The following is a 16,450-nucleotide window of genomic DNA, read 5'->3' on the forward strand; positions in this document are numbered from 1 at the left end:
GAAAAATACAACTTTGTGTAGGGGAAAATAATCTCTAAATTCTTAGTAATGTTTCTATTTCTTATGGCAGCATTTTCTTTAGGCCTAGAAAGTAAAAACTTAAATAACAGTATATGTTATTGTCATTTTGTGGTAAACCTGCTAACATTTTCTTTCTGTCCTTTTTTTTCCAATTTGTAAGGAAATCTACCACTGTCGAAGACAAATAAAATATAGCAAAGACAAGATGTGGTATTTGGCAAAATTGGTAAGCTGCAATGACTATTACCATATAATTAATAATTTAGGAAAGAAGCTATGAGTTCCCCTCCCCACCCCTCACCCCAGGATTTGAAAAATAAAAAAGATTTGTGAGGAATGTGATATAATTGGTAGGTTGTCAAAAGAATGATTGTTCAGAGATGTATGATTTTCCTTAATTTTCACCTTTTTCTGAGAAACTAAATCACATTGGATAGATAGATACTAAAAGGCATCAGGAGTTTGGCTATAACCAGAGAATCCAGGAAACCCACCTATTTATCTGTAAACTTGATTCAACCTGTTTTAAAACTGTTGCTTTTAAGTTTTTTTCCCTAGGAAATGAAATTTATAGATGAGGGGAGACTGAAGCAGCAAATATACATGTAATACATTTATCCTATAGGAGAAGGAGATGCCTTGAATGCCTAGTGTGGTTGTTACCAACCTGTGGTCTCTCTGTCATGTTTGCTGTCTTTTAATGTTATTGAAACTATTATAATCTCAGTTTTATGGTTAAAATGTTTGTTTCATTTTGACTGAAAGAGAATAGTGTCTCCTCTCAAACTTGTTTTCTTCTCTTTTATTTGGGTTCAATTCACTGTTTTTAGAAGTTACTCAAATTATGTAAGACTTTCATTGAAAAGGAAACATTGACTTTGTAAACTAATTTATTTTCTTTTGTCTCTCACCCTTTAATTCTAGATACGAGGAATGTCTATTGACCAGGCTTTGGCTCAGTTGGAATTCAATGACAAAAAAGGGGCCAAAATAATTAAAGAGGTAAACTTACAAGTTTGGGTGTGGTAGGGAATGGGGAACTGGGGAATGCAGCTGTCTTGCAATTATTAGTAAGCTTAGCCTAAATCATGAATTCCCTAAATTTTCTGTTGTAAATGCATACTTTATATAATACAGATTTAGGGTTCTCAGTTTATTAAATATGTGTATACTTTAGGAATGTTGTGTGCTTTAGGGTTTATTTCCTGAGGTGCTTTTATTTCCACCAAATATTTATCTGTTTTTTACTGCTTATGATGTGATGAATCTTATTTTTAATGATTTGGGGCTTGGTACGTATATGTGTGTATTTGTGTGTATGTATGTGTGTTTGTGTATATAATTTATTTCTTGGAGCAAGGCTGAACTTCAAGGTATATTTTTTTGAAGATTTTTTTTTTCCTATAAAGGAGAGTTTTTATAACTAAGTAATTTTGTAACTAAATGGAAAGAGCCCTGGACTGGAACTCAAGAGACTTGGACTCTAGTCCTTTCTCTGATCTTTTTCTTGTGACCGTGGGCAAGACACTTAACCAGTCAGTTTCTATTTTTCTCACCTAAACTATGTGGAATTGGATTAGATGACCCCTAAAGATCCTTCCAACTCTAAATGTAGCTAATTCACTAGATACAAATGTGCTGATGGTAATTGTGGTGACTCTTTCTAGGAACATGAATATTCTTTTTTTATTACATATATTTTTCTTTTTTTTTTTTTTTTTTTTGAGACGGAGTCTAGCTCTGTTGCACAGGCTGGGGTGCAGTGGCGCCATCTTGGCTCACTGCAGTCTCCGCCTCCTGCGTTCAAGCGATTCTTCTGCCTCAGCCTCCCGAGTAGCTGGGACTACAGCTGCGCGCCACCATACGCGGCTAATATTTTTGTATTTTTAGTAGAGATGGGATTTCACCATATTGGCCAGGCTGGTCTTGAACTCCTGACCTCAGGCGATCCGCCCACCTCAGCCTCCCAAAGTGCTGGGATTACAGGCGTGAGCCACCGCGCCTGGCCTATTTTTCTTTTTTAATATTCTTTTTTCAAAAAGTTGTATTGATTATTGTCCGTTACCATCTGGGGCTATCAGCATTGTTTTCTATATATTCAGTTAATTCTCACCAAAAGTCAGTTCATACCTTTCAGTTTAGTAGTAATAGGTAAATAGTTGAGATTGATAGATTCAGACTTCTAAAGGGTTCCTTTGTAATGCTTTGATTTTGCTATATTCAATTCAGAATGCATTTACAAGTGTTTGTTGTGTACCCAGCCTTGTACTACATTCTTTATCTTTTAAGGCGTGAAAGATTTGGTTTCTGTTATTTCTGACAATTGTCTTTTTTTTTTTTTTTTTTTTTTTTGAGATGGAGCCTCGCCCTGTCGCCCAGGCTGGAGTACAGTGGCGCCATCTCCGCTCACTGTAAACTCCACCTCCTGGGTTCAAGCGATTCTACTACCTCAGCCTACCGAGTAGCTGGGACTACAGATGTGTGCCACCACGTCCAGCTAATATTTTTGTATTTTTAGTAGAGATGGGATTTCACCATGTTGGCCAGGATGGTCTCAATCTCTTGACCTCATGATCTGCCCACCTCGGCCTGCCAAAGTGCTGGGATTACAGGCGAGAGCCACTATGCCTGGCCCAATTGTCATATTTTTACAAAAATGTGTTCTGGAGGAAGTTAATTCAAAATATCTATGGAGAGTAAATTTGATAATTAACCTCTTCAAGGAAATTATTATATCAAGTGTGATTTTCTCTACTTGTCTGATGTTAATGGTTATTTGCATCCAAAGTTTAAGAATTTTTATTTTATTCTAGTTTTTAATTAGATTTTTGTTTTTTTAGAGGCAGGGTGTCACTCCATTGCCCAGGGCTGGAGTATAGTGGCATGATCACAGCTCACTGCAGCTTTAACTTCCTGAGCTCAAGGGATTTTCGTCCTTCAGCTTCCCAAATAGCTGGAACTGCAGGTGTGTGCCACCACGTCCAGCAAATTTTTCACTTTTGTAGAGATGGGCTGGTCTCGAACTCCTGGCCTCAAGGGATCCTCCTGCCTCAGCCTCCCAAAGTGCTGGGATTATAAGCATGAGCCACCATCCCAGCTAAGACTTTTCAGTAAGATTAAGCTATTGAGTTTCATGAACTTCGTGTTTGTTTTTTAAGATAGGGTCTCTGTTGCCCAGGCTGGAGTGCAGTGGTACAATCTTGGCTCACTGCAGCCTCCACCTCCTGGGTTCAAGTGATCCTCCAGCCTCAGCCTTCCACATAGCTAGGATTAGAGGTATGTGTTACCACACCTGGCTGATTTTTGTGTTTTTAGTAGAGGCGGGGTTTTGACATGTTTGCCAGGCTGGTCTCAAACTCCTGGCCTCATGTGGTCTGCCCATCCCATCTTGGCCTCCCGAAGTACTGGGACCATGGACATGTGAACCACTGCATCTGGCCTTGGGAACTTTTTGACAAGTTTCTGACTCAAAGACATAATGTTCCTTCCCAAGGGTACTGCTTACAAGCACCGCTATCTCCTTTATAGCTTACACATGTCATTTAAAACTTAGTAGGATGGGCTGTGTTCTATGCATTTACACTTCTTGGTCTAAGGCAGGAAAGCTCCCTTCTCCTTTGTACTCTTATCATTTGATATTGTCTTTTTAAAATTGACTATGGAAGCATGTGATTAGCAGTCATAGTACAGAGATAATGAGAGATGAGAAACTTAATTCCATTTTACTTCAGGTTTAGCCGTATAAATGCTTTTCTTTTTCTTATTTAAGGTTCTCTTAGAAGCACAAGATATGGCAGTGAGAGACCATAACGTGGAATTCAGGTCCAATTTATATATAGGTAAGATTTTTAATATTCTTAGCATTAGAAAATGTCTTCAGTAGTAATGCCATGTTTTTTATCTAACAACAGTCTTTAATATCTAACTCCTCAGGACTTGGTTTGTCAGTGAAAATTGCTAGTAATGGCTTATTCTTCAGCTGTATGCATGCCAATTTTAATTTAGTGTAAATGACAATAACTGTACTGTTTTACCTGTTCTGTAGTGAGACTGAGATCATAAAGCCAATTGCTAATAATTATTAAATAATAGATACCAAGACTGGGGTACATAGAGTGGTACTTTAATTGTAATATTATAACAAATAGTATTAACACATTTTTAAAGTTGTTTGTCAACCAGAAGGAGGTAAATAATCACAGGTGCATTTAAAAAATTTTTATTTATAATGTGCCAAGCCAGATGCCTAATCCATAAAGGTGTCCTGTAATTTAACCTTACAGTTATCAAAATGGAAGGTCTGTTGAATTGTAAAAGCCAAGGGGCCTTGGAAGGCTCAGATGACCCAGATGTGTTTGTTCCACTTTGTTACTACATCCTGAAGCATTAGCTCTGCTTTTACATGCTTGTTCCACATCAAATTAAATTAATATAAGTTAAAATGCTTTGGGAAGCATGATGTGCTGTACAAATGTAAGGAATCTTTTTGCTGCAGACCGTCACACAGTTATTTTCTGAGAAGGAGATTAATGTTTATTACAAAGCTCTCTTGCCTCCTCCCAACACCATGGGAAAGTGGAGCAGTGGTTGGAGTTATTATTTTTTTCTCACTACAGCAATTACTCCTAACCTCAGCAGTTTTATATTCAAACAAAGATGTTGATGTTGAAGCAAAGTTTTCTCAATCTGCCATACCAACATATAAAGATTATTTTACTTAAAGCTATTTTAAATTCAAGATATGGGGAACATCTACTCTCCAGATGGAGGAGAAAGGGCTGAATCAATACAGGGGGAATTAGTTGTATTTTATAATTTTTCAACAATTAGAGTAAAAAAAAAATTATCTAAATTCTACTTTTTCACATAGCCTCTGTGCTGATTAGGTTAAAATCTCAGTTCAACTCACCTGGCATTGATGTTGGCCACCACACCTCCTGAAATTCAAATTAGTTGATTTTCAGTTGAAATGCTTTATTTTAAAGCTGAATCTTGTATAATTTTATTTTGATACATGCAAAGATGCAAAGGGAAATCAAAATGGCAACCCAAGATGCAGGGCCATGGTAGTTAATCATAAGCATTTTCTTCTGGGAGCATTATGAATAAATAATGTTGGAGAGGTCTTGGAACCATTGGAAGGGATGAGGAGCAAGACCATTTGCTTAAAACCTCTTGGTGATTCTTCCTGCTCTGTGACTCTGAATATCAAATCAAATTTAATTAATTTTATGCAGTTTCACAGGGATGTGAGATTCGTAGCTGATAGACTTTCTAATGGACTTCAGATACAAATGAAATATGATTTGTCTTTAAGCCTTTTTCAATAACTGTCTTTAAATCCTTTTCAATAATTATAGTAAAGAGAGATAGGATAAAGAGCTTAATCCTGTTGCTCCAAATGAAGGAGCAGGGTCCACTGTTGCCATTAAGCAAAAACATGCTTAACCAATCCTACATAAATGACCCTTTATTTTATCTTTTTTTATTTTTGGAGATGAGGACTTGCTCTGTCACTCAGGCTGGAGTGCAGTGGTGTGATCACAGCTCACTGCAGCTTTGAACTCCTGGTCTCAAGTCATCTTCCTGCCCCAGCCTCCTGAGTAGCTGGGACTAGAGGCACGTACGAGCACACTTAGCTAATTTTAAAATTTTTTGTAGAGACAGAGGTCTCGCTTAGATGCCTATGCTGGTCTTGAACTCCTGGCTTCAAGCAGTCCTACTGCCTCAGCCTCCCAAAGTGTTAGGATTACGGGCATAAGCCACATTGTCTGACCCTTTAATCCAGAGTTCTTTTGCACATTTCTGCTGAAAAATCTCTGCCTTACCTGTACTGTCTTTTCATCTACTTCTGTGTTGATGACTTAAGTAAGGCTAATAAATTTGGATTTACATTATGATTTTTAAAATTTTTCATTCACTAAGTATTTTGATGCCTAATTCCATAATCAAAAGAGATGAGTTCCCTCAGGAAGAGTATGATGTGTCAGACATTTTATCCCTGTATTTGCCAAGCTGCTTCTTAAGAATCATCTTGAGGTTGTTATTTAAAATATAGATTCCCAGGCCTCGGCACAGACCCACTGGACTTGAAACCCCAGTGGAGAGGCCTAGGAAGCTGTTTATTTAATAAACAAGTTAATAATAATCAGTTGTTTAATAAACTATTGATTCTTAACCATAAAATATGGGAAACTGATTTATCTTACTGTGTTCTTGGAAAAGGCCTAGACATTTCATTCCATAGACTTCTGTTAGAGTTTTGAAAAACTAGTTACTTATTGGCTACTATTTTGGTTCAGCAATGGTTCTTTCAGTACCCTGAAATAAGTATAGGCATTTTAAAGGAAGTGCTTTTTTGATAGCATATGTTCTCATTATATGGTAACTCTTTCAAATGCCTGTCATTGGTGTAAAGCTAATACCTGGTGTTGCATGACCACAGATTTAGAAAGTTCACTTCCCTTTCAAACTTATAGTGATGACTAATGATACTGTGAATAGGCCTTAACAAGTGGACAGGGACTAATAAAATGTCTCTGCTTAGTGATTCATGGCATCTAAAGTGAATCACTTTAGGGAAAGTGATCAACTGACCTTGTACATCAATCTTATTGGCTGAGAGTGATGAAGGTGGGAGCGGAGGGCTTCTAATGTTACAATTTCAAGATTTGTATTTACCTAAATACTACTAATAGGAAATATTTGCTGTGTGTATATATATTTACTTACTTATTTATTTATTTTGAGACGGAGTCTCACTCTGCACCCAGGCTAGAGTGTAGTGGTGCGATCTCAGCTCACTGCAACCTCTGCCTCCAGGGTTGAAGCAATTCTTGTGCCTCAGCCTCCCGAGTAGCTGGGACTACAGGCATGCATCACCACACCCAGCTAATTTTTGTATTTTTAGTAGAGATGAGGTTTCACTATGTTGGCCAGGCTGGTCTCGAACTCCTGACCTCAGGTGATCCACCTGCCTCGGCCTCCCAAGATTTTGGGATTACAGGCGTGAGCCACTGTGCCTGCCCTGAAAATATTGGCAATATTTTAAATTCATTACACCTATTGGGTATTATCTATAGAAAAACACAGGTTGTCTTCATTTTTGAGATATCTTAATGTATTCTTTCATTCAAAAAGTATTTGAGTACTTTCTGTGTGCATACTATCCACATTAAATAGGTGATGTTATATCTTTTGTGTCATTTTAAAACATTTAACACTTGTAGTTCTTTGACAGTAGTATTTCTTTGGAAGAATGCATACATTGTTCTTCTGAAGTATAATAATACTGTGTATACCATTAATATTATATGTACTTGAAAAACTTTGAAACTTATTTCAGAATTTGAGCAGATTTACCAGAGACCTCTGTATTGAAAAAATGATATTAAGTAGCAGATGATGTATTTCAAAATTATTTCTGTTTCTATGGATCATGAACTTTTGGGGCAATACAAAAAGGGTATAAGTTTGGTTGAGGAGGTGACTTTTACAGATGAAACACAGATGCTTATAAAGACAGCATATGATTTGGGACCAAAAAGAGTAATACAGACAAATGGTATTGTTGGAGTAGAGAAGAAAAGGTCAATATGGGTTAGAATAGTCGTGGAGACTTTCTAGAAAAAATTGGCATGTGAAGATAGGCTTTTGGGAGTCTGGAGGAATGCTCTTCCAGGAGAAGAGCAGATTTTTAAAGTGGGGTGGCCATACATGCAGAGGCACATAGGTTGGAATAAGCAGTAATAGTGTAGTACAATGAGGAGAACAGTGTGAAGGAAGTAGAAGTTTGACCTCGAGTAGATAAAATGGGAAGGGTAGATTGGGCCTATATTCCAGAGAACTGAACATGGCAGGCTGTGTATTTGGTTCAAACTATATCAAAGAGGTTTGGGTAAGAGATTTATGTTATTAAGATAGTGTTTTAAAAGTATTAACAATAAGCGGTAGTTTTGAAATTGTGCTCTGTGGGGTGTTTAGCAGTGGGACCCTTGATATCTTGGTCACCACTATATCCTTGGAGCCCAGGACAGAGCCTGGTACCCAGGAGGAACTAAAAAATGTTTGTTGAGTGAATGAATGGCAGAGTTTTGGGTCTTCCTTGACCCACGTTTCAATAGGAGCAGATCAGCATTACAGTGTTATATATATCAGGCTTCTACATATTGTTTCATTTTACTTGAAATGATTCCATATACAAAAGCAGTTTGAAACCCCTAAATATGGACTTAGTGGAGGAGAGATTGGAGGAGAGGAACCAGGAAACAGTTTGGCAACTATGTTCTAAGTCCTGATTTCATTTACACCTCAGGGTGGCTGTGTTGGGTATTCCCATTACGGTGTATTAAAGAATCTTAGGATGTTTCAGAAAAATTAATGTTTTTGTTTTGACATAAAGAAATGATGGCATCATGGCTTTAAGATATGCAGATGATCTTTTATGGCTTTAAGATGAAATCATGACTGACAGTTAGCAGGCATTGAGCTTCTGCTTTTGTGCAGATCTCTGTAAGTTTGTGTTTTGGGGGAGATAGAAGGGAAATGGGAGCCGACGTAGACCGTGATGGGGTTGATCATTGTGATCTAGTGATCCATTGAGTATTTGGAAATTGGTGCTCAAGTTGGATAGAGAAATGATTTTGGATAGAAGCAGCTATCACATTTGTAAAATGCTTTTTAGAAGTTTTCTGGTCTCACTGTTCTTATTTGTAGGTTTCCTCTAGACAGGTTGATCCAGGGGACGCGCCGTGATGGGGTTTCCTTATAAAGTGATTTGTGTAATGCTGCTTTCTCTGGAAATTTGTAAACTCATTTTTTCAGTGCCCACTAAATGAAGTTAATAAAAGGGCAGTAGGTCTTTCCCTATCTCACTTAGACCCTAGGCAGTTTTCACTTTCATTCTTGGCTTTCTCTTTGGCAAAGCTAGGAAGCTTCTGCTGAAACCCACTTCACTAGAGGATATCGTAGTTAGAGAGTTGTCAAGTGCATACTTTGGTATAGTCCCTATATTTATAAAGTATGTCACAGTAAGTGTATAAGAATGATGAGTGTTGAAATGGATAATTTGATATGTATTCTGTAGATTTTACCTTTTTAAAAGGCTTATTAACTAAACAAGTAGCTGACTAAATACATTCAGAAAATAGTAGAAGGTAGATGGCTACTACTCTGACTTATTGTGGGTGAACAGGTGAACAGTTCTTCTTATGTACTATTTTTTTTTTTTTTTTGAGATGGAGTCTTGCACTGTCACCCGGGCTGGTGTGCAGTGGTGGATCTTGGCTCGCTGCAACCTCTGCCTCTCGGGTTCAAGCGATTCTCTTGCCTCAGCCTCCCAAGTAGCTAGGATTACAGGTGCCCACCACCACAACTGGCTAATTTTTTGTATTTTTAATGGAGATGGGGTTTCACTATGTTGGCCAAGGTTAAACTCCTGACCTTGTGGTGATCCGCCCGCCTTGGCCTCCCAAAGTGCTGAGATTACAGGTGTGAGCCACCGCGCCTGGCCCTTACATGCTATTTAAAAGATTTCTTTACACTTTCAAGGTCAAATTTTGATATACAGAATGGGGGAGGGGAGCTGAAGGGGCCGTTGTGCCAGAGTTCCTAAAACTGGCTGTCAGTCAGAATTTCTGGGGAGAGTTGGGGTACGGGTGTTTGCCCAGGATGTAATTTCCAAGGCCCACCCCAGATATACTGAATTAGAATCCACAGAGGTGAGGTCTCAGCATCTGCATTTTAATTACATTCCCTAGGTTAGTCTGATGTAGCTTGTCAGAGAACCAGCATTTGGGAGCCATTGACTCCAGTGGCTTCTCATCACAATTAGAATAAAATAAAAAACTCCTTGCCTGAGCCTACAGGACCTTGTGTAATCTTGCCCTAGCTTTATCTCTAATCTCTTTTCCTTGTTTGTGCTTCTCTTCCCCTTGCTTACTATGCTTCAGCATGGTAGTCTTCTTTCTTTTCCTAAAACAAGCCGAGTGCATTCCCACCATTGGGCCTTTGCACTTGCTGTTTCCTCTGCCTGGAATACCCTGTCCCTAGATATTCAAATAGATGATTCATTCTGCTCTTAGATCAAATGTCTCTTTCTCAGGGATGCCTCTTGACACTCCCAGTCTGAAGTCCCTTACACCCCATCATTGTCTGTCATCTCATTCTGATTTATTCACAGCACTTGTCACTAGCTGAAATTATCATTTTATTTTACGTCTTTCTTCTCCAGAATGTAAACTGCTTGGAGGCAGGGGCCTTGCCAGTCTTGTGCACTCTTACTTCTCCAACACTAGAATAGTGCCTGGTCCTTAGTTAGCATTCAGGAGATAGTTGTTTTGAGACAAGCCTGCTCTAGCCAACCAGTGAGCCCATGTAATCTCAGAATCCAGTCAAGGAAAGGACAGAAATTGCTCAGCTGATCAGGCTTGTGGATAACACTCATTTCCTGTAATTCTCTTTTTCTTCCTGTTTAGCTGAGTCCACCTCAGGACGAGGCCAGTGCCTGAAACGCATCCGCTACCATGGCAGAGGTCGCTTTGGGATCATGGAGAAGGTTTATTGCCATTATTTTGTGAAGTTGGTGGAAGGGCCCCCACCTCCACCTGAGCCACCAAAGACGGCAGTTGCCCATGCCAAAGAGTATATTCAGCAGCTTCGCAGCCGGACCATCGTTCACACTCTATGATGAGGAGATTCAGACTCCACAGTGTATATATTTTGCCATTTATTTTCTAAAAATAAACAAAAATTGAAGGCAAATGCTTTTTATGATTTCTCATTGAATTATTGAAACAGTGTATAACTGCTAGTTGTAAATGAATATTTATAAGGCTTTGCCCATTTCTTTTGAGCCTCTGGGCATATTTGTATGCATTTGCGACTTGGAAGGGGAAATCAGCTTTAAACATAGTAACAGACTATATTTCAAAAGGCTTTTGGAGTAACTTTGAAAGGGAATGTTAACTTTCCAACTAGTGTCCTGCAGGTGGCTGTTTTGATACTGGACTTGAATACAGTGTTATGAGGTAAGAAAATTGCTTTTATTTCACTTAATTTTCTCTTGGGACCATGGGAAGTTAGAGTGGCTGCATGTTGTTTCATTACAGTATTTTAGGGTGTTCAGTGGTACCGTTTTTCCTTTCACTGTTGGCACAGGCCAGTGAGTCAAAAATTATATTTTCCTTTACTGTTTTAGCAGTAACTCGAAACTACAGGAGTTTATTAGATATACGAATCTAAAACTCCAAAAACCTTTAACTTTGAAAATTTTCTTTTGGTTAAGCAAAGCCTGTTTTTATTTCTTCTTCCAACAGTGCTTTATATTGTTTGGATATCTTGTTTAGGATTGATTTATTTTTCAGGGTAAATTCAATTACTGAGAGAGGAATTGAACCAATCTCAGCATTGCATTCTAAAATGGGGCAGTAGGTGGCACTCAACCTTTTATTAGCAGAAAATTGTTAGTTTCAAATTAGAGTGTTCAACACTGCTTCCCTCTCATTCATACACGTCTTCATTAAGAAGAAGTACTCTTTGTCTACAGCCCTAGTCCAACTTTTGCATGCAAAAGAAGAATCGAGGATGCTTGCTTGTTAATGCAGACTTCTGGGCCCCACCCCAATGATTCAATTCACTAGGTCTTATGGGGGGCTGGTTTCAGAAATCTATGTTTTAAACAAACACTTCCAGGTAATTCTGTTGTAGGGGACTACGCTTTGAGAATACGGCTTTAGGAGAATGAAAAAATGTAGTTTTATTGCCATGTTTTAAGATGGCATTAATAATAGTTACTGTTTACTGGGAACTTGTTATTTGCAAGCTCTGTGCTAGTATTTTACATAATTCTTCACAACATCCTGAAAATGTAGCTTTTGTTTTACCACTTTACAAAGGAATAAACCGAAGCACACAGAATTCAAATAACTATCACAAGTCACACAGCATGTAAATATTGGGGCTATGATTGAAAGGTTTCTAAAGTAGCTGGTTCTGCATACCTTTTGAGTATACAGCTGGGTTTTTGTGTCTCTCCAGTTAACCTAATGCATGGGTAAAAAGACATCAGGGGTCAGTGGAATAAACCAAGGTGTAGGACAGATTCATTCTGGGTCCTAAGCTGTTGTAGCATGGAGTCAGGGAAATAACACTGGAATATTAAAAGGTAACCTTCATTCTAGTCTGTGCATTCTCATTAGCCAGAAAGAAGACTGGATAGGTCTCTTCCCTTGCTGGCCTCCATTTCATTCATTTATGAAACAAGAGACTCAATGTTCTCTGTAGAAAACCTTTTTTAGAATCACTTGAAGAATTTGTTTAAAAATGCAAATTCCTGGGCTCTACTCTCAGACTAAGTGAATCAGAAGCTTTGGTGTGGGAGACCATGGAACCTGCAGTTTTAATAAATGCCCCAGTGATTTGCATGTTGGAGAATTATCACACCAGGTCACTGTGCTCTCATGTGGTGGGGATGCTCCACGATTGCTCTTGGAGTTGTGACTTCCTTGGGTGTGACTAAAGCCAGGTGGTGCCATGGACATCATAAATATAAATTATGTAAGTGAAGGCACTGCTTCAGTCAGGCTGTAAAAGCTATTTTGAAAGTGGTAAGGAAAAAGTAGGATTGTAATGAAGAAAATTTCCTTCCCAGGTTAAGCCTTCATTTGGAACTGCTTCCAGTACGTTACAAAAAGTAATAATAGCTAACCTGTGTCACTGACTGTATCTGGTACTATTTTAAGCACTATATATACATTATCTCAATGAATCTTTCCCATTGTGACATCCGGCTAGTTTTCGTGGCTAAGAGTGTACTTTCTAACATCCATGAACATTGTGGTCCCCACCTGAAGTTTCACTTTGCATGTTCAGTGATATGGTTTGGCTCTGTGTTCCCACCCAATCTTATCTCAAATTGTAATCCCCATGTGTCCAGGGAGGGACCTGTAATCCCCACCTAGTGACGGAGGGAGGTGATTGATGATGGGTGTGGTGTACCCCATGCTGTTCTCGTGATAGTGAGTGGGTTCTCATGAGATCTGATGGTTTTATAAGTGTTTGAAAGTTCCCTCTTCACTCGCTGTCTTGCCTGCTGCCATGTAAAATGTGCCTACTTCACCCTCTGCCATGATTGTAAGTTTCCTGAGGCCTCCCCAGCCATGCAGAACTTTGACACAATTAAATGTCTTTTCTTTATAAATTACCCAATCTTGGGTATTCTTTATAGTGGTGTGAAAATGGACTAATACATTCAGAAGCCATTATCTGTTATTCTTTAATGGCAATCTCTGAATGCTTGTACTTTCCTTCTTTTCCAAAGAATTACTGTAGACCCAAATTTTCATCATTTGAGTGTAGCACATTCAGAAAGTACACCAATTGCAAGTATACAGCACAAATTATGATCAGCTGATGAACATGTACAAATAACCCCCATTAAGACAAGAAATAGAACATAAATAGCAACCCTGAAGCCCCTACCTGCACCCCCGGTCACTACCCCATCTCTCTTCTCAAAAAGTAATCATGATAGATTAAAAAAAAAAAAGGTCAGCTTTTGTTTTTTCAACTCTAATTTATTGGGCAACTATTATATACATGGTACTGAAGATACAGGCAGTGAACATAGTAAATATGGCCCCTGCCTGAAAGAGCTGACTGATGGGAAAGACAACTGTACATCTATCATTGAAAGTATTTATTGTGGATTCAGAGGGACAGGGGGCTCTGAAAAATAGTTACTGCTTCTTTGGGGGTTTACTTAAAGAGATACAGTCAGGAGAAAGGGTAAAAACAAATACATGGTTCAGTAAAAAGCTATGATATCAAAATGTCAACTTAAGGGATTTTATTTTATTCTTACTATTTTAGAGACAGGGTCTTGATCTGTTGCCCAGGCTGGAGTGCAGTGACACGATCATGGCTCAGTTTAGCCTCAGCCTCCCAGGCTCAGGTGATCCTCCCACCTCAGTCTCCCAAGTAGCTGGGAGAATAGGTGTGCACCACCACACATGGCTAGTTTTTGTATTTTTGTAGAGATGGGGTTTTGCCATGTTGCCCTGGCTGGTCTCAAACTCCTGGGCTCAAGTGATCCTCCCACCTCGGCCTCCCAAAGTGCCGGGATTATAGGTGTGAGCCACTGCACCAGCCTATTACAAATACTTTGAATGAAAGCAAGGAAATATTGGTAGATGAATTATACTTGTGCACTAAAATAAAATTTTTAAAAATATCCAATAGGGACTTGAATGATTATTTTCACATATGGCCCAAGGAGGCTCATACAAATTCTACTTTGGAAAGGAAGGAATGGCAATATTAATTTCAAAGTGCAATTTAAGGAAGAAGTTAAATGACCCTAAAAAGGTTGTTTACACATGCAGTCAATTTGAGAAAATGTACAAGTCTTCTGAAGAGCATTTGTAAATTGCATGTGTCCACAGTGGACCCCAATATAAGAAATACTGATTTAAATGGTTTTTCTATTTGACTGTTTATCTAAATGGTCACAGTTCTTTACTCTTTTCATATATTGATGCTCTTTGCAATGTGACTTTGTATCTCCTCTTATTAAGAGGTGGAGTCTTTGAATCTGGGCTGGCTTTGTGACTTCTTTGGCCAACAGAAAGTAGCAGAAGTGAGAGTTTTCCAGTTTTCAGTCTAGGCCTCAGAGGTCTTGTTTGCTTCCTCTTTTTTTCCTGGACCTTTGCTTCTGCCATGTCAACAAACCTAAGCTAACCTGCTGCAGGACTAGAGACCACATGGAAGAGAGCAATGAATCACCCACTGAGAGCCAGCCAGCCAACTCCTAAACATGTGAGTGAGCCCAGCCCACATCAACAGAGCTGCCTACCCCATGAAAAACTGACTATAGAAGCATGAATGAGCCCAGTTGAGATGAGAAAACCCACTATAAACTGACTTACAGAGTCATGAACAATAGTAACTGCTTATTGTTTAAGCCATTGAGATTTGAGGTAGTTTGTTACACAGTAATAGGTGTGATAAATATTTCAAACTTTGTACCCTACAGAAAATACCTATTCTTTTTAAATGGCTGTAAAAATTTATGAAATTGATTCTAGGGTTATCATAAAGGAACCTTAATAGATTCTTTCAAATAGAAACTATATAAATAACTTTTTAAAATCATACTGCCTTAAAACTAGAAATTTGTTCCTTTTTAAAAAAAGTTTAAATATAATTCAAGCTACTTGATAATTGAACACTCCTAACTCTTGGTTCTTTGGGGGAAAAAGGATCATTAAAGTGGACGTGACCTATGAATTCAATCAAATACAAATGAAAAAATTCAATGTGGGAAAAGGGCATACAGAGAAGATTGAGAATCCTATGTAGTTAAAAAAAAAAAAAAAAGAATCCTTTGTAGGAATGTGCTGTATCGTAGCCAACCTGGAAGTACATTTCTCAGAATCCTCTTCTCTGTAGGGTTGTGGGTTAGAATTGGCTGAAAGATGAGTAAGATCTGGGAGTTGGAAGTGATGCTCTCACAATCATTTTGGCATCCTGACACCTATTGTAGTGGTAACTCAGTCGGAGACACCATGCTAAAGCAGCAAGCATCCCATTCCATCATCTTGTAAGACTAATGTAAGCAAAAATAAATTATTAAAAGAGTATTGGATCACTCAAATAATTTCTAAGTGGCCCAAGAACTAGATTTTAAAGCTACATAGCCAGGAACAATGCAATCAGATGACATAGGAAGAAAACCATACCTCCTTACAATAGGGCTGTTCTAGTGGAAAGACTAGGATTCCATCATAGCTGCTCCTAAAGGGCCAGATGCCTGTGTACTGTCTGGGTATAATAGAATCTGTAATCTCCTACTCTGTGACCACCTCCTCACATTGTTCTCTTCCATCTCTGAATCAGTGTGGGCATAAATGACTGGCATATATTATATGAATGAACCTTAGTTGTAAGTACAGAAATGTACTTTTTAGTTTTCTGGTTTCTAAAGCATGCCAATGTCCTCCAGTCAGAGACCACCACAAATACAACTCTAGTTGAACAAGTTGGGTTTATTACTTGTTGCAGCGAGGGAAAACACACCATGGGGAGCTATGGGGTGTCTCAATAAGAGGTGTTAGAACCTATTATAGGATTTGGGCATTGGTTGGGTGATTTGTGGAGGGGCTAAGAAAGCAGGTATTTTTTTCTAAATTGGATGCTGTTAGAAAGCAGGTGCAATTATATGATTATCTCAAGTTTTATCAAGGAGGGTAAATGAGTGAAAAAAAGGGGTAAGTGGTAAAGAGTTAACAGTTACTCATTTTGGCCACAAGAGAGGAATGTTTGGTATTTTGTGAGGGGCACAGTGAACTTATTTTTTTCTGAGCTTCAGCAAAATGATGGTGTGGACTCGCCTTATTTCATTGAATCATGATCCCAGAGTAACTTTGTCTGG

The 16,450-nt window shown here is 38.5% G+C and overlaps 1 protein-coding gene across 2 annotated transcripts in view; it reads left to right on the forward strand.

The window, feature by feature from the left end:
- The window catches only part of MRPL22 (mitochondrial ribosomal protein L22), a 28,339-nt gene extending 15,117 nt beyond the window's left edge, over positions 1-13,222 (forward strand). For both annotated transcript variants that reach the window (NM_014180.4, NM_001014990.3), the window contains 4 exons: positions 182-247; positions 946-1,023; positions 3,791-3,860; positions 10,497-13,222. In NM_014180.4, coding sequence (NP_054899.2) covers positions 182-247; positions 946-1,023; positions 3,791-3,860; positions 10,497-10,708 — 426 coding nt within the window. In that variant the 3' untranslated portion in view covers positions 10,709-13,222. The remainder of the gene's footprint in view (positions 1-181; positions 248-945; positions 1,024-3,790; positions 3,861-10,496) is intronic.
- The last annotated feature ends 3,228 nt before the right edge of the window (positions 13,223-16,450 follow it).

Source organism: Homo sapiens, chromosome 5 (genome assembly GCF_000001405.40).
Source record: "Homo sapiens chromosome 5, GRCh38.p14 Primary Assembly".
NCBI lineage: Eukaryota > Metazoa > Chordata > Mammalia > Primates > Hominidae > Homo > Homo sapiens.